Source organism: Homo sapiens, chromosome 1 (assembly GCF_000001405.40).
Source record: "Homo sapiens chromosome 1, GRCh38.p14 Primary Assembly".
Taxonomy (NCBI): Eukaryota; Metazoa; Chordata; class Mammalia; order Primates; family Hominidae; genus Homo; species Homo sapiens.
Genome location: NC_000001.11, coordinates 199,367,865 through 199,382,330, shown reverse-complemented (window position 1 = coordinate 199,382,330; position 14,466 = coordinate 199,367,865). Strand labels below are relative to the sequence as shown.

Here is a 14,466-nt window from a genome sequence, read left to right as displayed (position 1 = left end):
TGAAATTCATATAAAATTTCAAGGGACCCAGAATATCCAAAATAATATTGGAAAAAGAATAAAGTTATAGGAATCACACTTCATGATTTCAAAACAGTCTACAAAGTTAAAATAATCAAGTCAGAGTGGTACTGGCCTAACAATAGATTTATCAATCAATGGAACAGAATTTTGAATCCAGAAATAAATCCTTATCTATATGGTCAATTGATTTTAAACAAAAATGTCAAATTATTTAATGGAGAGATTTTTTTTTTCAGTTAATTGTGCTGGAACTACTGAAAATCCATATGCAAAAGAATGAAGATGAACCCATTTTATACACCATACACAGCATTAACTGAAATTAATCACAGACCAACATTACAGCTAAAACTATAAACATTTTATAAAGTAAGTCTTCATGACTTTTAGTTAAGTAATGACTTGTTAGATACAACACTGAAAGTACAACCAACCAAAGGGGAAAAAACCCAGGTAAATTGTTTTTTGTCAAACTAAAAACTTCTGCATCACAAAAAACACTGTAAGAAAGTAAAAAGGAAACCCTATAAAGTGAGAAAAAAATGTAAATTACATATCTAATAAGAGATTTGTATCCAGAATATATTTAGAATTCTTACAAATCAACAATAAAAAGACAAATACGCATTTAAAAGTACACAAAGGCTATGAATAAGTATTTCTCTAAAGAAGATATACAAATTGGCAAAAAAACATCTGAAAAGATGTTCAACAACATTAGTCATTAAGGAATGCAAGTCAAAACCACAATCAAATGCCACTTTATACCCACCAGGATAGTTATAATTACATAGGTAGGCAATAACTAGTGTTAGAGAGAATGTGGAGAAATGGGAACACTTATATATTGTTGGTGGGGATGTCAACTTGTGCAACTGCTTTGCAAAATTGTTTGATCTCTAAAATGTTAAACATAGAGTTACCATGACACTCAGCAACTTCACTTCTAGGTATAAAACCAAGAGAATTAAAAAACTTACACATTTATATAAAATCTTGTGTATAAATATCTACGGTACTATTATTCATAATTGTCAAAAAGTGGTAACAATGCAAATGCTTATCAATTTATGCATGGATAGATAAAATGTGATATATCCATAAAATGAAATATTATTTGCCACAAAAAGGAATGAAATACTGATTTATGCTACAACATTTATGAACCTTGAAGACATGCTAAGTAAATAAGACTATCGTGAGCCGAGATCGTGCCACTGCACTCCAGCCTGGGCGACAAAGCCAGACTCCATCTTAAAAAAGAAAAAAATACTATCACTAAAGTTCACAATCTATGATTCCATTATATAAAAGTGTCTGGAATAGGCAAATCTCTAGAAACAGGAAGCCATTAACTAAGGATGGGGGATAGAATAAGAGTGATTGCTAATGGGTATGCAGTTTCATCTGGGGGTGATAAAAAATGTTCTAAATTAGATTGTGGTAATGGTTCCACAACTCTGTGCATATACTAAGAAAACATTAAATTGTACATTTTCAATGGGTAAATTGTATGGCCTTTGAATTATATCTCAATAAAGATTTTTAAAAGATGGCATTGCAATATTTCAACTAATTTGATTTGGAAAAATTTCTAGTAGATTGCCAGACCAAACTACAATAAATACTGAAAAGTTATGCGCGAATGGAGGAAGCGGCATTGGAAAGTTCATATTTGGTTCATGGCTCTGAAAATAAAATTCTGCTTTCAAATTTATTACAAGTTAACATCTGTCTCTGCCTATAAATGTCAATGAAAAGTCGTGGTCAGTTTTAAAATCAAATTTACTCACTGGTCTTACTCCAAAAGTGGCTAGCGTGTCAGTGGCCAAAAATCACCCTGCGTTTAGTTTCATGAAAGGGCAGAGAAAAGTCATGACAAATTCAAAGAGTTCTTTGCTCCCAGGGTTAATGTCATTTTTCATACCTTATTCCAAAGGAATGGCAAGCTTTTAATGCATCTTTAATGGCAACTGTTCATGTGAAAAAAAAAGAAAAAATATGAATTATGTAAACAATATAATTCCCAAATGAGTTGCTTCTATTTGAGTCCCTTTTGTTTTGCAATAGAATGCTCAGTTCAGAATATCATAGTATTAGCCAAATGCATTTAGGGTCCAAACAAGTTCATTGCTCTTCTGTTATAGATTTCAGTTTCTATATATTACTATAATTTATATTCTTCAAGAAAAAGGAACCATTATCTGAACATAATTTTGTTTTTGAAGTGGATTTGAAGAGTCATTAATTGGTCTTTAAGATAAATCAATTTGAGAGGACAAGATGGGATATAGAAATGCATCTTGAAAAGTGATTAATGACATTGAGGGAAATGATAAATAGCATGTTTCCTTGGAAATGGATTGTAAACCCGATGTCTAAATGATATTGTACAGCAGCAATTCACAGCCTTGCCACCTAAGAGTCAATTTTTCTGCCATTAGAAATACAGCTGTTATATGTCTTCTGCATTTGCAAGAAAAAAAAGGAATGTTCACTTTCTTCTTGGTTATTGATATCTACTTTTTTTTTTAAAGTCAATGCCTTTATTTTCCTTTATTTGGCAAGATACTCCAGTGACCAACAGATAGGCTGAATAGATAAGAAAGATGGAAATATTGTACCTGAAAGTAGTAGGTAAATGAAGGAAGACAGCAACCAAAAGCTCCCTTTGGGGCATTATGCTTCTGTTCCTAAATACTATGAGTTAATTCTTATTTCTTCTTATAGGTTCATATAAAATAGCTCTTCCCCACTTGACAGTTGTCAACAAATCTAGGTTTAAAGTCAAATAAGAGGATTCAGAAATTCATAACTAGACATACATGTAGAAAGAATCAAGGTCAGGGTCTTCTTCCTTCCCCAATAATACTAAATTTATGTATTTGGATTTACATTGGCCAAGGAAGGATAAGCTCAGAGTAATAATTTTTAGTTACTTATATGTTAGATGGACTTTTCCCAATCAGTTAAATTTGCTATTGAATTTTCCGTATTTATTATCTCTCAAAAATAACCATATAAAACTCAAAACAAAAAGTAGATACAATGTTTTCCTTTTTTGTATTTGTTTTTGCATAATTCAACAGGCTGGCATGTATTAGAGAGGGAAGCATACAACAGAGGAAACTTTATGGCAGTAGCAAGACACTAAATCAGGTATTTTCTAGGTTGATAGATTAATTTTTTTTTAAATCAGAGCCAACAAGATGCATATATTCAATGAACAGGAACTTTGACCAACAAGTGTGCTAGTCATCCTTTGCAGAAAGTGACTATGAAAGTGCCACAGGTATCTGAGATTACACATAAATTTGAGTGAGCAAATTCACAAATACAGAATGAAGTGCAAAGTGAAAAACACATACATTTAGATGGTTACACATCAGGAAATAGTTTCTTTCACTACCTTCACTTCCATCAAAATGCATTATATAAAGCTTTATTTATGAAGAAAGGGACATTTAATTATTTTTCTAAAAACAACACGTGAATGCTCATGAATAGGGCAATCTACAAGATCAATGTGATAATTTCTGAAATAATTATAGAAAAATCTTTCTGATATATGCCTCTTCCCCAATTAAATTTGTTGACTGTAAAGGCAAGGTGATACAAACTAATGAATATGATGTTGGACCTTTGAAATTCTGTACTAGTTTTAAAATGTCATTTACAAAAAAATGAAAAAGACAAGAAAAACTGTGCCAATATTGCACTCCTGTAGTGATTGAGAGCAAGAGCTTTGGAGTCCGACCCACTAGAGTTTAAAACTGTTCCCTCAGGCACTAGCTTCTTTAACCTTGAAGGTGTTAGTGTAACCACACTGAATCTGGATGTTTCGTCTCTGAAACTGGGATAATAATACTGTCTGCTTCATATGCCAGTTGTAAGAATGAAATTTTTTGAAAACCCACCTTGATAATTTTAATTATTATTAAATTTGATTTTTCAAAAGCATTCAATCAAGTATAAATAAAAATACTTATTAACTTTATATTATTTCTACAACCATACCCAGTAATCTCAAAAAAGGTGGAATTCAACATATATTAAAAGAATGTTATTTAGCTGTAAAGGTAGAAAGATTATAGCAATTAACTTTATTAGAGTGTGCATATTATGTGTTTATTCAATAATTGACTTATAACTAGAGCTACTCTTAACATTGGGTATACATAGTTTGTAACATAAGACACATCACACAACCTTCTTGCATTTAGGAACGCTAGATAGATAGCACTTCAGCATTATGCTTGAGGGCCAATTTAAAAGGCAAAAATCACCAATAAAAAGCATTAAAATGTGAAAAAGGTGTCACTAAGTAGACCAAGAAAAGCACACTTGTGTACAGTATGATGGCTGAAACATAGAGACAGAGCATCACGTTATTTCCCCTCAGCTGAGAACGTATATGTCAGGTCACTCAGTTTTTTGCCACTCTGCAAGTGTTCACACATGACCATGAAAATGCCCTATCATCTTGAGATTAAAAATAAATTTTCACAAGTGAACAAATTCACAAACACAAACTCTGCAAATAACGAAGATCTGCTGTATATAGTCCACCTCAGAATGGAGCTCTTAATATTTTGGAGTAATAACATAATCTCCCATACTGTTGAGTATATAATACTGTAGACCTTTTTATTAGATTTATTGAACTTTTATTTTCATAGAAATGACTTTGTATTTCTATTTGAAAAATGAAGCTGGTTTTTTCTTTGTGTCTTATTTTATCAAAATATAATACTTTATTCTTTTAGAAGATAGTTTTGTAGGTTTTGACAACCACAGTACAGTCATGTAAATGCAATCAAAATCAAAATATAGAATAGTTCCCATACCTCAAAAATCTCCCCATGGTCCTTAGTCATCCTCTCCCCCAACTTGTCTCTGGCAACTGATTTATGTCCCTATAATTTTTCCCATGCCAGAATGTCATATAAATTGAATCATACAGTATAAACCCTTTGAGTCTGCCTTCTTTCACTTAGCGTGATGCACTTGAGATTTATTCATATTGTTATGTGTATTAGCAGATTTTTTATGCTTTTTTGCTAAGTAGTATTTCATGATATGAATAGGCACATTTATTTATCCATTCTTTACATGAAGAAAATTTGGTCGTTTCCAGTTTTTGGTGATAATAGTTAATGCTGTTATGAGCATTAATGTGCAGAATGTGTGAATGTGTTATTTCTGTAGCGTAAATATTTAGGAGTAGGATCATTGGATCATATAATAAGTGTATGTTAATTTTATCAGAAACTGACAAAGAGTTTTCTAAGGTGGGTGTACCATTGTGTATTCCTATCAGCAATGTAAAAAGAGTTCCAATTGCTCTAAACATCTTTGCCAGCACACGGTATTGCCAGTTTTTGTTTGTTTGTTTGTTAATATGGCCATTCTAATAAATGTGTTATGGTGTCTCATTGTGGGTCCAATTTGCACTTATCTAATACCTATTGAGATTGATTATGTTTTCATAGGCTTATTTTCCATTGATATATCTTTTTTTATGAACTGTCTATACAAATCATTGTCCTATTTTTAAACTGAAATGTTGTTTTCTTATTATTGAGTTTAGAGTTATTTATATATTGTGGGTACAAGTCCATTATCAAATATATGAATTGCAAATATTTTCTATCAGCCTATGGCTTATCTTTTTGTTTTCTTAATTGTGTCTTTTGAAGAACAGAAGTTTTGCATTTTGATAAAGTCCAACTTACCGCTTTTTCCTTTATGGCTTGTGCTTTTAGTGTAATATCTAACAAAGCTTTGCCTAACTGAAGGTCTCAAATATTTTTCCCTATATTCTTTTCTAGCCAGTTTATGGTTTTTGATTTTCAGTTTAGAGCTATGATCCCTTTTGAACTGATACTTGTGTATGGTAGAAGGTATGGAATGAGGTCCATTGTTGTTTACATGTAAATATCTAGTTGATAAAGACTATCCTTTCTTCATTGACTTGCCTTTGCACCTTTGTTGATAATCAATTTATCATATTTGTGTAGGTCTATTTCTGAACTATATTTCATTGATCTATAAAATTTCAGTACTATACTGTTTTTATCACAGCTTTATAATCAAACTTGAAATTAGGTAGTGTGAGTCCTCCAACTTTTACTTTTTCAAAATTGTTTTGGCTAGTCTTGTTCCTTTGCCTTTTCATATAAATATTTGAATTAACACACTGATATTTACAAAACAAAAACCCTGTTGGCAATTTGATTGAATTTACATTGAATCTGTAGATAACTTTGGGAAGAATTGGTATGTTAATGATACTGTGTCTTCTGATTCATGAACATAGTACAGACATACCTTAGAGATATTGCAGGTTCAGTTCCAGACCACTACAATAAACCGAATATTGCAATGAAATAATTCACACAAATCTTTTGATTTCCCAGTGCATATAAAAGTTATGTTCGTACTATACCGTAGCCTGTTAAGTGTGTAATAGTATTATGCTTAAAACAATATGCATGCCTTAATTTAAAAATATTTTATTGCAAAAAAATACTAACAATCATCTGAGTCTTTAGCTACTCATAATCTTTTTGTTGGTAGAGGGCCTTGCCTTGGTGTTGATGGCTGCTAACTGATGAAAATGGTAGTTGCTGAAAGTAGGAGTGCCTGTGGCAATTTTAAAAAATAAGACAACCATGAAGGGTGCTGCATCAGTTAACTATTCCTTCCCCCAGATTTTTCTGTAGCATGTGTTGCTGCTTGACAGCATTTTGCCCTCAGTAAAACTTCTTTCAAAATTGGAGTCAATCCTCTCAAACCCTACTGCTGCTTTATCAACTCAGTATATGTAATATTCTAAATCTTTTGTTGTCATTTTAACAATGTTCACAGCCTCTTCTTCAGAAGCAGATTCTATCTCAAAAAACCACTTTCTTTGCTCGTCCTGAAGAAGCAGCTCCTCATCCATTCAGATTTTATCATGGTATTACAACAATTCAGTCACAATATTAGGCTCCACTTCTAATTCTAGTTCTCTTTCTCTTTCCACCACATCTGCAGTGACTTCTTCTACTGAAGTCTTGAGCCTCTCAAGGTCATCTATGAGACTTGGAATTGACTTCTTTCAAACTCCTGTTAATGTTGATATTTTGACCTCCTCTCAGTTAATTCTCTTCTTAGAGAATGACTTGAAAAGTATTCTCTTTTCTTCAATTTATGGAAGAATTTGTATAGAATTGATAATCCCTTTTCCTTAGATATTTGGTGAAATCCACTGGTGAAATCATATGGGTCTGGAGTTTTTATTTTGGGAAGTTTTAAAAGACAAATTTAATTACTTTAAAAGTTATAATTGTGGGATCTATAGTTATGATTCCTATTTCATTCTTGATATTGGTGTTTTGTGAGTTTTCTCCTCTTACATTTTCTGACAAATCTACTAGGTTTATTTATGTTACTGATCTTTTCAAAGGAACAATTGTTTTTTATTTTCATTGACCTTTATAAACAATGGAGAACATTATGTTTACCATAACATTGAATTTTTTGCTTTGAATTATTATATAATTATCAGAAATATTTAATTAGTACAATTAGATATAATTATGCATAATTAATATAATAATTATATGATTATAATCTTAATTATTTTCTTATTTCTGCTTATTTTGTGTTTGATTTGCTATTTTTTTTAAGTGTCTTTAGGTGGCAGCTTAGGTCATTAATTTTAGACCTTTCTTTCTTTTCTTTTTTTTTTTTTTTTTTGAGACAGAGTTTCACTGTTTTTGCCCAGGCTGGAGTGCAATGGCTCAATCTCGGCTCACTGCAACTTTCACCTCCTAGTTGCAAGTGATTCTCCTGCCTCAGCCTCCTAAGTAGCTGGGATTACAGGCATGTGCCACCATGCCCAGCTAATTTTCAGTATTCTTAGTAGAGACAGGGTTTTACCCTGTTGACCAGGCTGGTCTTGAACTCCTGACCTCAGATGATCTGCCTCCCTCGGCTTCCCAAAGTGTTGGGATTACAGGCATGAGCCACCGCGCTTGGCCAATTTTAAACCTTTTGTTTTTAATATAGGTGTTAGTGCTATAAATTAAACACTAATTTAATTCCACAAATTCATTCACTTAGTTTTCATTTTGCATTCTTGTTTAACCCATAGGTTATTTAGAAGTGTGTTGTTTATTTTCCAAACATTTAGAGATTTTCTAGATATCTTTCTGTTATTAATGTCTACCTAAGCTTCACTCTGGTCAGATAATACATTTGTATGATTTATGTTCTTTAAAATTTGTGGGTCAGAATATAGTCTCGCCTGGTAAATGTTTTGTGGGCACTGGAAATGAGCGTCCCTTATGCTATTTTGTGTGAAGTATTTTATAAATGTGAATTGGATCAAGTTGATTGATGCTGCTGTTCAAATCTTCTGTATCTTAACTGATTTTACATCTCTTTGTACTACTAATTATTGAGAGGTAAGTTGAAATCTTTGACTATAATTGTTGATTATCTTATATTGTCTTAGTTCCATGATATGTTCCATTATGGATTTTCTTTATAATCCTTGAAGTTATGCTATTAGGTACATAAACATTTGAGATTATTTGTTTTATCTTTTTCATGAATTGACTTCTTCATGGATATTTATTCCTGGTAATCTTATCTGCTATGAAATCATCTGTTTCTAATATTTATGCAGATACTCCAGATTTAAAAAATAGTTTTAGCATGATATGTCTTTTTCCATTGATGTATTTTTAATCTACATGTTAGTCCATTCTCATGTTACTATAAAGAACTGCCCAATACTGGAATTTATAAAGAAAAGAGGTTTAATTGACTCAGTTCTGCTGGGCTGGGGAGGCTCAGGAAACTTACAATCTGGGCAGAAGGGCAAGCAAACACATCCTTCCTCACATGACGGCAGAAAGGAGAAGAATGAGTGCCTAGTGAAGGGGGAAGCCCCTTAATAAAACCATCAAATCTTGTGAGAACTAACTCACTATCACTGACAACAGGATGGGGGAAACCACCTCTATGATTCAACTATCTCCACCTGATCCCTCCCACGACACATGGGGATTATGGGAACCACAATTCAAGATGATATTTGGGTGGCAACACAGCAAAACCATATTGATCTCTTTGTGTATTCATATTTTAAGTAGAATCTTGTAGGCAGCATATAGTTGAGTCTTACCTTTTGATATATCTGACAACCTCTGCCTTTTAATAGGAGTATTTAGATATTTTATATTTAATGTGATTATCTCTATGATTGTGTTTGAGTCTATAATTTGTTACTTTCTCTTATACATCCCATATTTCTTTGTTCCTTGTGCCCACTTTGCCTTCTGCTGAATTAGCTGTATTTTAAAGTTAATTTTTGTCTACATTATTAATTTATTAGCTATAACATTTTGAGTTTTTAGTAGTTGTCTTAAAGTCTATAGTGTACCTCTTTAATTTATCACAGTCTAGCTTCATATAGTATTGGATTATATTATATTATATCATATATAGTATAAGAACTTTACTTATAGTAAGGTTATACTTTCTGAAAGTCAATATAATTTTAAAATTTTAGTTATAAGTTATTTTGTATATCAAATTATAATTTTCTCACAATAATCATAATCTTAAAATAAATTTTATTAATATTTTAATGCCTCTAAGAAACAAGAATAAAACAAGTTGAGCACTAAACTTTTATCAGCTTATGACATTGAGAGAGCTTCCAAGCCATGGTACAAGGACAGGAACCCAGATAGAGTCTATAGTTTTCAGCTATAATGAATAACCCTGTTGTAAACATTCATGTGGGTGTCTTTGTGTGAACATATGTTTTCATTTCTCTTGGGTAGACACCTAGGAGTGAAATTTCTGGGTTTTATGGTAGTTTTATGTTTAACTTTATAAGAAGCTCCCAAACTGTTCTCCAAATGGCTGCACCATTTTACATTTCCACCAGCAATGTCTAAGGGATCCATTTTCTCTACACCTTCATCAACATTTGTTAATGTCTGTTTTATATCTTATGGTGACATCAAAAGCATCATAATCAGGAACCAGTTGACAGTTGAAAATATACTTTCTTCTCTCCATGAGGCTGATCAGGGTGTTGACCTTGGCCACATCAATGTCATACACCTTCTTCATACCCTGTTTGACCTGGTGCTCACTGGCTTTAACATCTACAATGAACACAAGTGTGTTGTTGTCTTCTTTCTTCTTCATGGCTGACTCAGTGGTCAGGGGAACTTGATGTTGGCATAGTAGCCAAGGTTGTTTTTCCTGGGGTTTTCCAAGGATATTTGGGCTGCCTTTGGAGGCACAGTGTCTTGGGCCCCCACAAATCATCTTTTTTGTGTGGCTATGGATGCCTTTCAGCACTACCTTCTTGGCCTTCAAAGCCTTTGCTTTGGCTTTGGGAGGGGCAGGAGAATCCTACTTCACCCTCAGTGCATTCTTGTCCATCATGAGTTAATTTTTGTGTATGGTGTGAGGTATGGTCTATGTTTTTCCTTTTGCATATGGGTTGCCAATTGTTCCAGCACTATTTTTGAACAGAAAATCCTTTTTCCAATGAAATGGCTTTACACCAGTATTTCTGACCAGTATTTCTGACCAGTTAGTCAGAAATCAACTAACTAGCTAATTATTTTTTTAAGTTATTTAAAATATAAGAATAACTTAGTTAAAATTTTTCTATGTCTTTTCTATTTCTGTGCTCTTCATTTCTTTGTGTAGCTACAGATTTCCATATGGTATTATTTTCTGAATGCTTGAACAATTTTTCTTAACATTTTTTAAGTGTTGGTAAAAAATTCTTTCAGATTTTGTATGTCTGAAAAATTGTCTTTGTTTCGCTTTCTGTTCTCATAAATATTGTTGCATAGCATAGAAATCTAGGCTGACAAATGTTTCTTTCAATATTTTAAAGATGTTGCTTAACTATCTTCTATTTTGATAAAAGTGCTTCATTCATATCTTTGTTCCTCTCTTTAAGTAAGTCTTTTTTTCTTCTTTTAATATTTTCTCTTTATCACTGGTTTAAGGCAAATTTGATTATGATGTGCCTTTGTGTAGTTTCTCTGATGATTCTTTTACTTGTGCTTCTTTGATCTGCAGCTTTAGAATTTTATCAATTTTGGAAAAATTTTGGCCATTATTTGTTCAAATATTTTTAATGCTCCTGTCTGTCTCTCTGCAAGTCTTCCAATTACATGTGTGTTAGGCTACTTGAAGTTGCCTCACATTTTACTGTGGCTCTATTTGTTTTTGTTTAAATTCTTTTTTCTCTGTGTTTGTTTCATATTGGTTGGTTTTTATTTTTATTTATTCATATTCACTAGTCTTTTTCTCTAAAGAGTATAATTTGCTATTAATCCTATACCATTAACTTTTTATTTCAACCTCTGTTTTTCACCTCTAGAAGATCAATGATGGCTTAAAAAAAGAACATTAGGGAAAAAACTGCTGAAATCTAAATAAAGTCTTTAGTTAATAACATTGTATTGATGTTAATTTCCTGCTATTAATAATGTACCATAATTATGTAAGAGGCTAGTGTAGAGAAGTTGGGTGAAGGGAACTCTCCTTATTATCTTTGCAACTCATTCTGACCGCAACAAAGGTCCATGGCTGCCAGGCTGGGCTTTCTTATTCCAAGAGCTTATCAACCTAGATTCATAGATGAGAAACGAGTTAGTAATTTGTGTAATAAATGCATTAATCCTCTGTCTAAAAAACCTATGGTCTTTCTGAATGTACTTTTTATTTCTTCTACCCTGAGCATAAGAATATCCATATAAAGTCCTCGTATTACTAATTCTATCATCTGTGTCATATCGTGCAGTTTTGATTGGTATTTCTCCTCATTATGAATTATATTTTTCTGATTCTTTGAATGCCTAATAATGTTTATTTAAATGCCAAACATTGTGAATATAGCCTTATTGGATGCTAGATATGACTATATTAAAATTATATTTTCTTCCATAATTGAGGTAATATTCTCTGGGTACTCTACTTAACTCTGCATGTATTGCAAGGTTTTTACCACTCTGGCTGATGAGAATACCAACTATTATTAGTGCTACATGATTCATGGGAACTGTTCTCCCTAATTCTTTCAGGTGGTTCTTTACCTGACCTCAAGTAGTTATTTCACATGTATGTTCAGATGAATAATCAGCTGGAGACTTCAAGTGGAGAGAGCTCTGCAAACATCCAGGATTCTATTTTTGCGTGACTCTCTCCCCTCCAGTATTCTGCCCTAAAACTCCTGTTGCCTTAGTCTCCTGTACTTTCAACTCTGTCTCCTCAATGTAAAGAGACCACTGCGCTCCATCTGGGTTCCTCTCCCTGTGTCAGGGCTTGGAAACTTTCTCAATACAGTAAGCTTATGAAAGTTTCGGATGCAACTTGTTTTATTCCTGTTTCTTAGAGACATTAAAAATATTCAGCTTGGGTGACAGAGCAAGATCCTGTCTCTAGAAAAGTAAAAATGTAAATAAATAAAATGTTAATGAAATTTCTTTTAAGATTGATCATGGTCATTTGAGAAAAGTATGATTTGACATACAAAATAACTTACAAATTTTTTAAACTATACCTTCTTCAGTTATTAGGATTAAAATCCATTCCTGAAAAAAAATTCAAAAGAAAAATTCTGTAAAAGGACATATTAATTAAGAATACAGTTACATGCTGGGTGAAGCATATTTAAAAAGTCAAGAAAAAGCAGTTTGTCTGTGGAGAGGAAACAACTCTTCATATATATACATATGTCCTATTTAGTTGCCATTAACAGCAATTGGTGCCTTGCTGTGGTTGTCCCATCTGTTGAAATTCAACAAAAGTGTTATAATGGCTGTTGATAGTTTATAATGTCAATCCTTCTATAAAGAATTAAGTCAAATAATGTTAAAACTTGGAAGGCATCTTAGAGATCATGTAGTAATTCAACTTTCTTCTTTTATATATAAGAAAGGCGTTATTAACTAATATGTTGATCATTGTGTTTCATACCATTAAAAAACGAACAAAACCTTTTACAGGCATATTTAGGACATAACTCAAGGCATCTGGCCTCAGGGTTCTGTGCTATTTTTTCCCAAATAATCAAGAACTGGAGAGTACAACTAAATGTATTTCATTTGTGGAAAACTGGTTCAGTAGACATAGGCTTAGATTACTCTAGAAGGTAACTTGTCATTTGTACCATCATGTTCTTTTTACACCTGAGAGCACTAGCTGTTCTATCAGTCATGGCCCTGGTATTTAAAAATTCATCTTAAATGGTCTAAATAAAAAGGGTGGGGGCAAAAGCAGAAGAGAGAACATCACACACTTACAAGTCTAGACAATTGAAGCCTCTATCACTCAATAAATCCATCTATTCAACAGACTTTTCTTAGCAGTTCAATCACTGCATTGCAGAGTAATACTTTGAGGTGAAGCCCAGAGAGAAGGTTGATGAAGCAGGGTCACTAACATGATTATAAACTAGACTTTATTCTGAAGGAGTTTATAATTTGAAAAACGTAAGTAGGCATAGGGATTAGTAATTCCATGATCAGTAATGATTAGAAAGTGGTTATAATAGCTAGGACTCTGGTTTTCAAATAACAGAAAACCCATTTAAACCAGCTTAAGGAGAAATAACTTACTATAAAAAGACTGAATGATTTCGTGAAACTCTACAGTTGAAATGCATCCAAGCCCTTGAAACCAAGAATACTTTTTCAAGCTCCTCTCCTCATCTTTACTCTCTATTATTCTCTGAGGCTTCCTATTCCTCCCTTCACATATGCTTTGTTCTTTCTCTTCATACATTGACTCACTGTGCTTCTCAGGTTCTCAAACAAGACACTACTAAATTCCTTTCTGGAAAGGAACTGAATTGGTCTCTTAGTCCCAATTCCAAATTCTGGGTAAAGGGATTCTGACTCTACTTGAATGAGTTAACCACCATCATATGAATTAACTGTGGCCAGAGGAGGGGACGTGGCTTGCTCTGAGTTCCACACGTGTATGGCGCAGAGAGGCAGATCCCACATAAGGTGGTGATGCATCTATGCCCCAATTTTTGACTATTAAACACTGGAGCTCAAAAATAGTTCTTTGGAACTTTTCAAAAATTAAATCAAACCAACTATTGAGAATATCTCAAGAAGTTTTAATATTATTTTTAATAAGATCAATATATTTCAGTAAATACATTTTAATGTTAAGTCTACATTTAACCAGTATTTGTTCATTAAATAAGATTCAAGATTAGGAATAGTGGGTGAGGAAAAAACAGAAGTTCTTTTGCAGTATCCGATGGTTTAGATGACAAGGGGCCTGGTTGGAGAGTAGAATGCCATAAGAGGTTCTTAAAATCAGCCCTTCCTTGCCTGTCTACTCAATGGGTCTTTTTCCCATTCTTAATGTGGCTCTTTGGTAATTAATTTTACT

General features: G+C 32.8%; 1 long non-coding RNA gene and 1 pseudogene across 1 annotated transcript in view; both read right to left on the bottom strand.

Annotated features, from left to right (window-relative positions):
* The window catches only part of LINC02789 (long intergenic non-protein coding RNA 2789), a 244,710-nt gene that overhangs the window by 10,977 nt on the left and 219,267 nt on the right, over positions 1-14,466 (bottom strand). The gene's annotated exons all lie outside the window — the stretch shown is intronic.
* On the bottom strand, positions 10,041-10,475 carry RPL23AP16 (ribosomal protein L23a pseudogene 16; annotated as a pseudogene).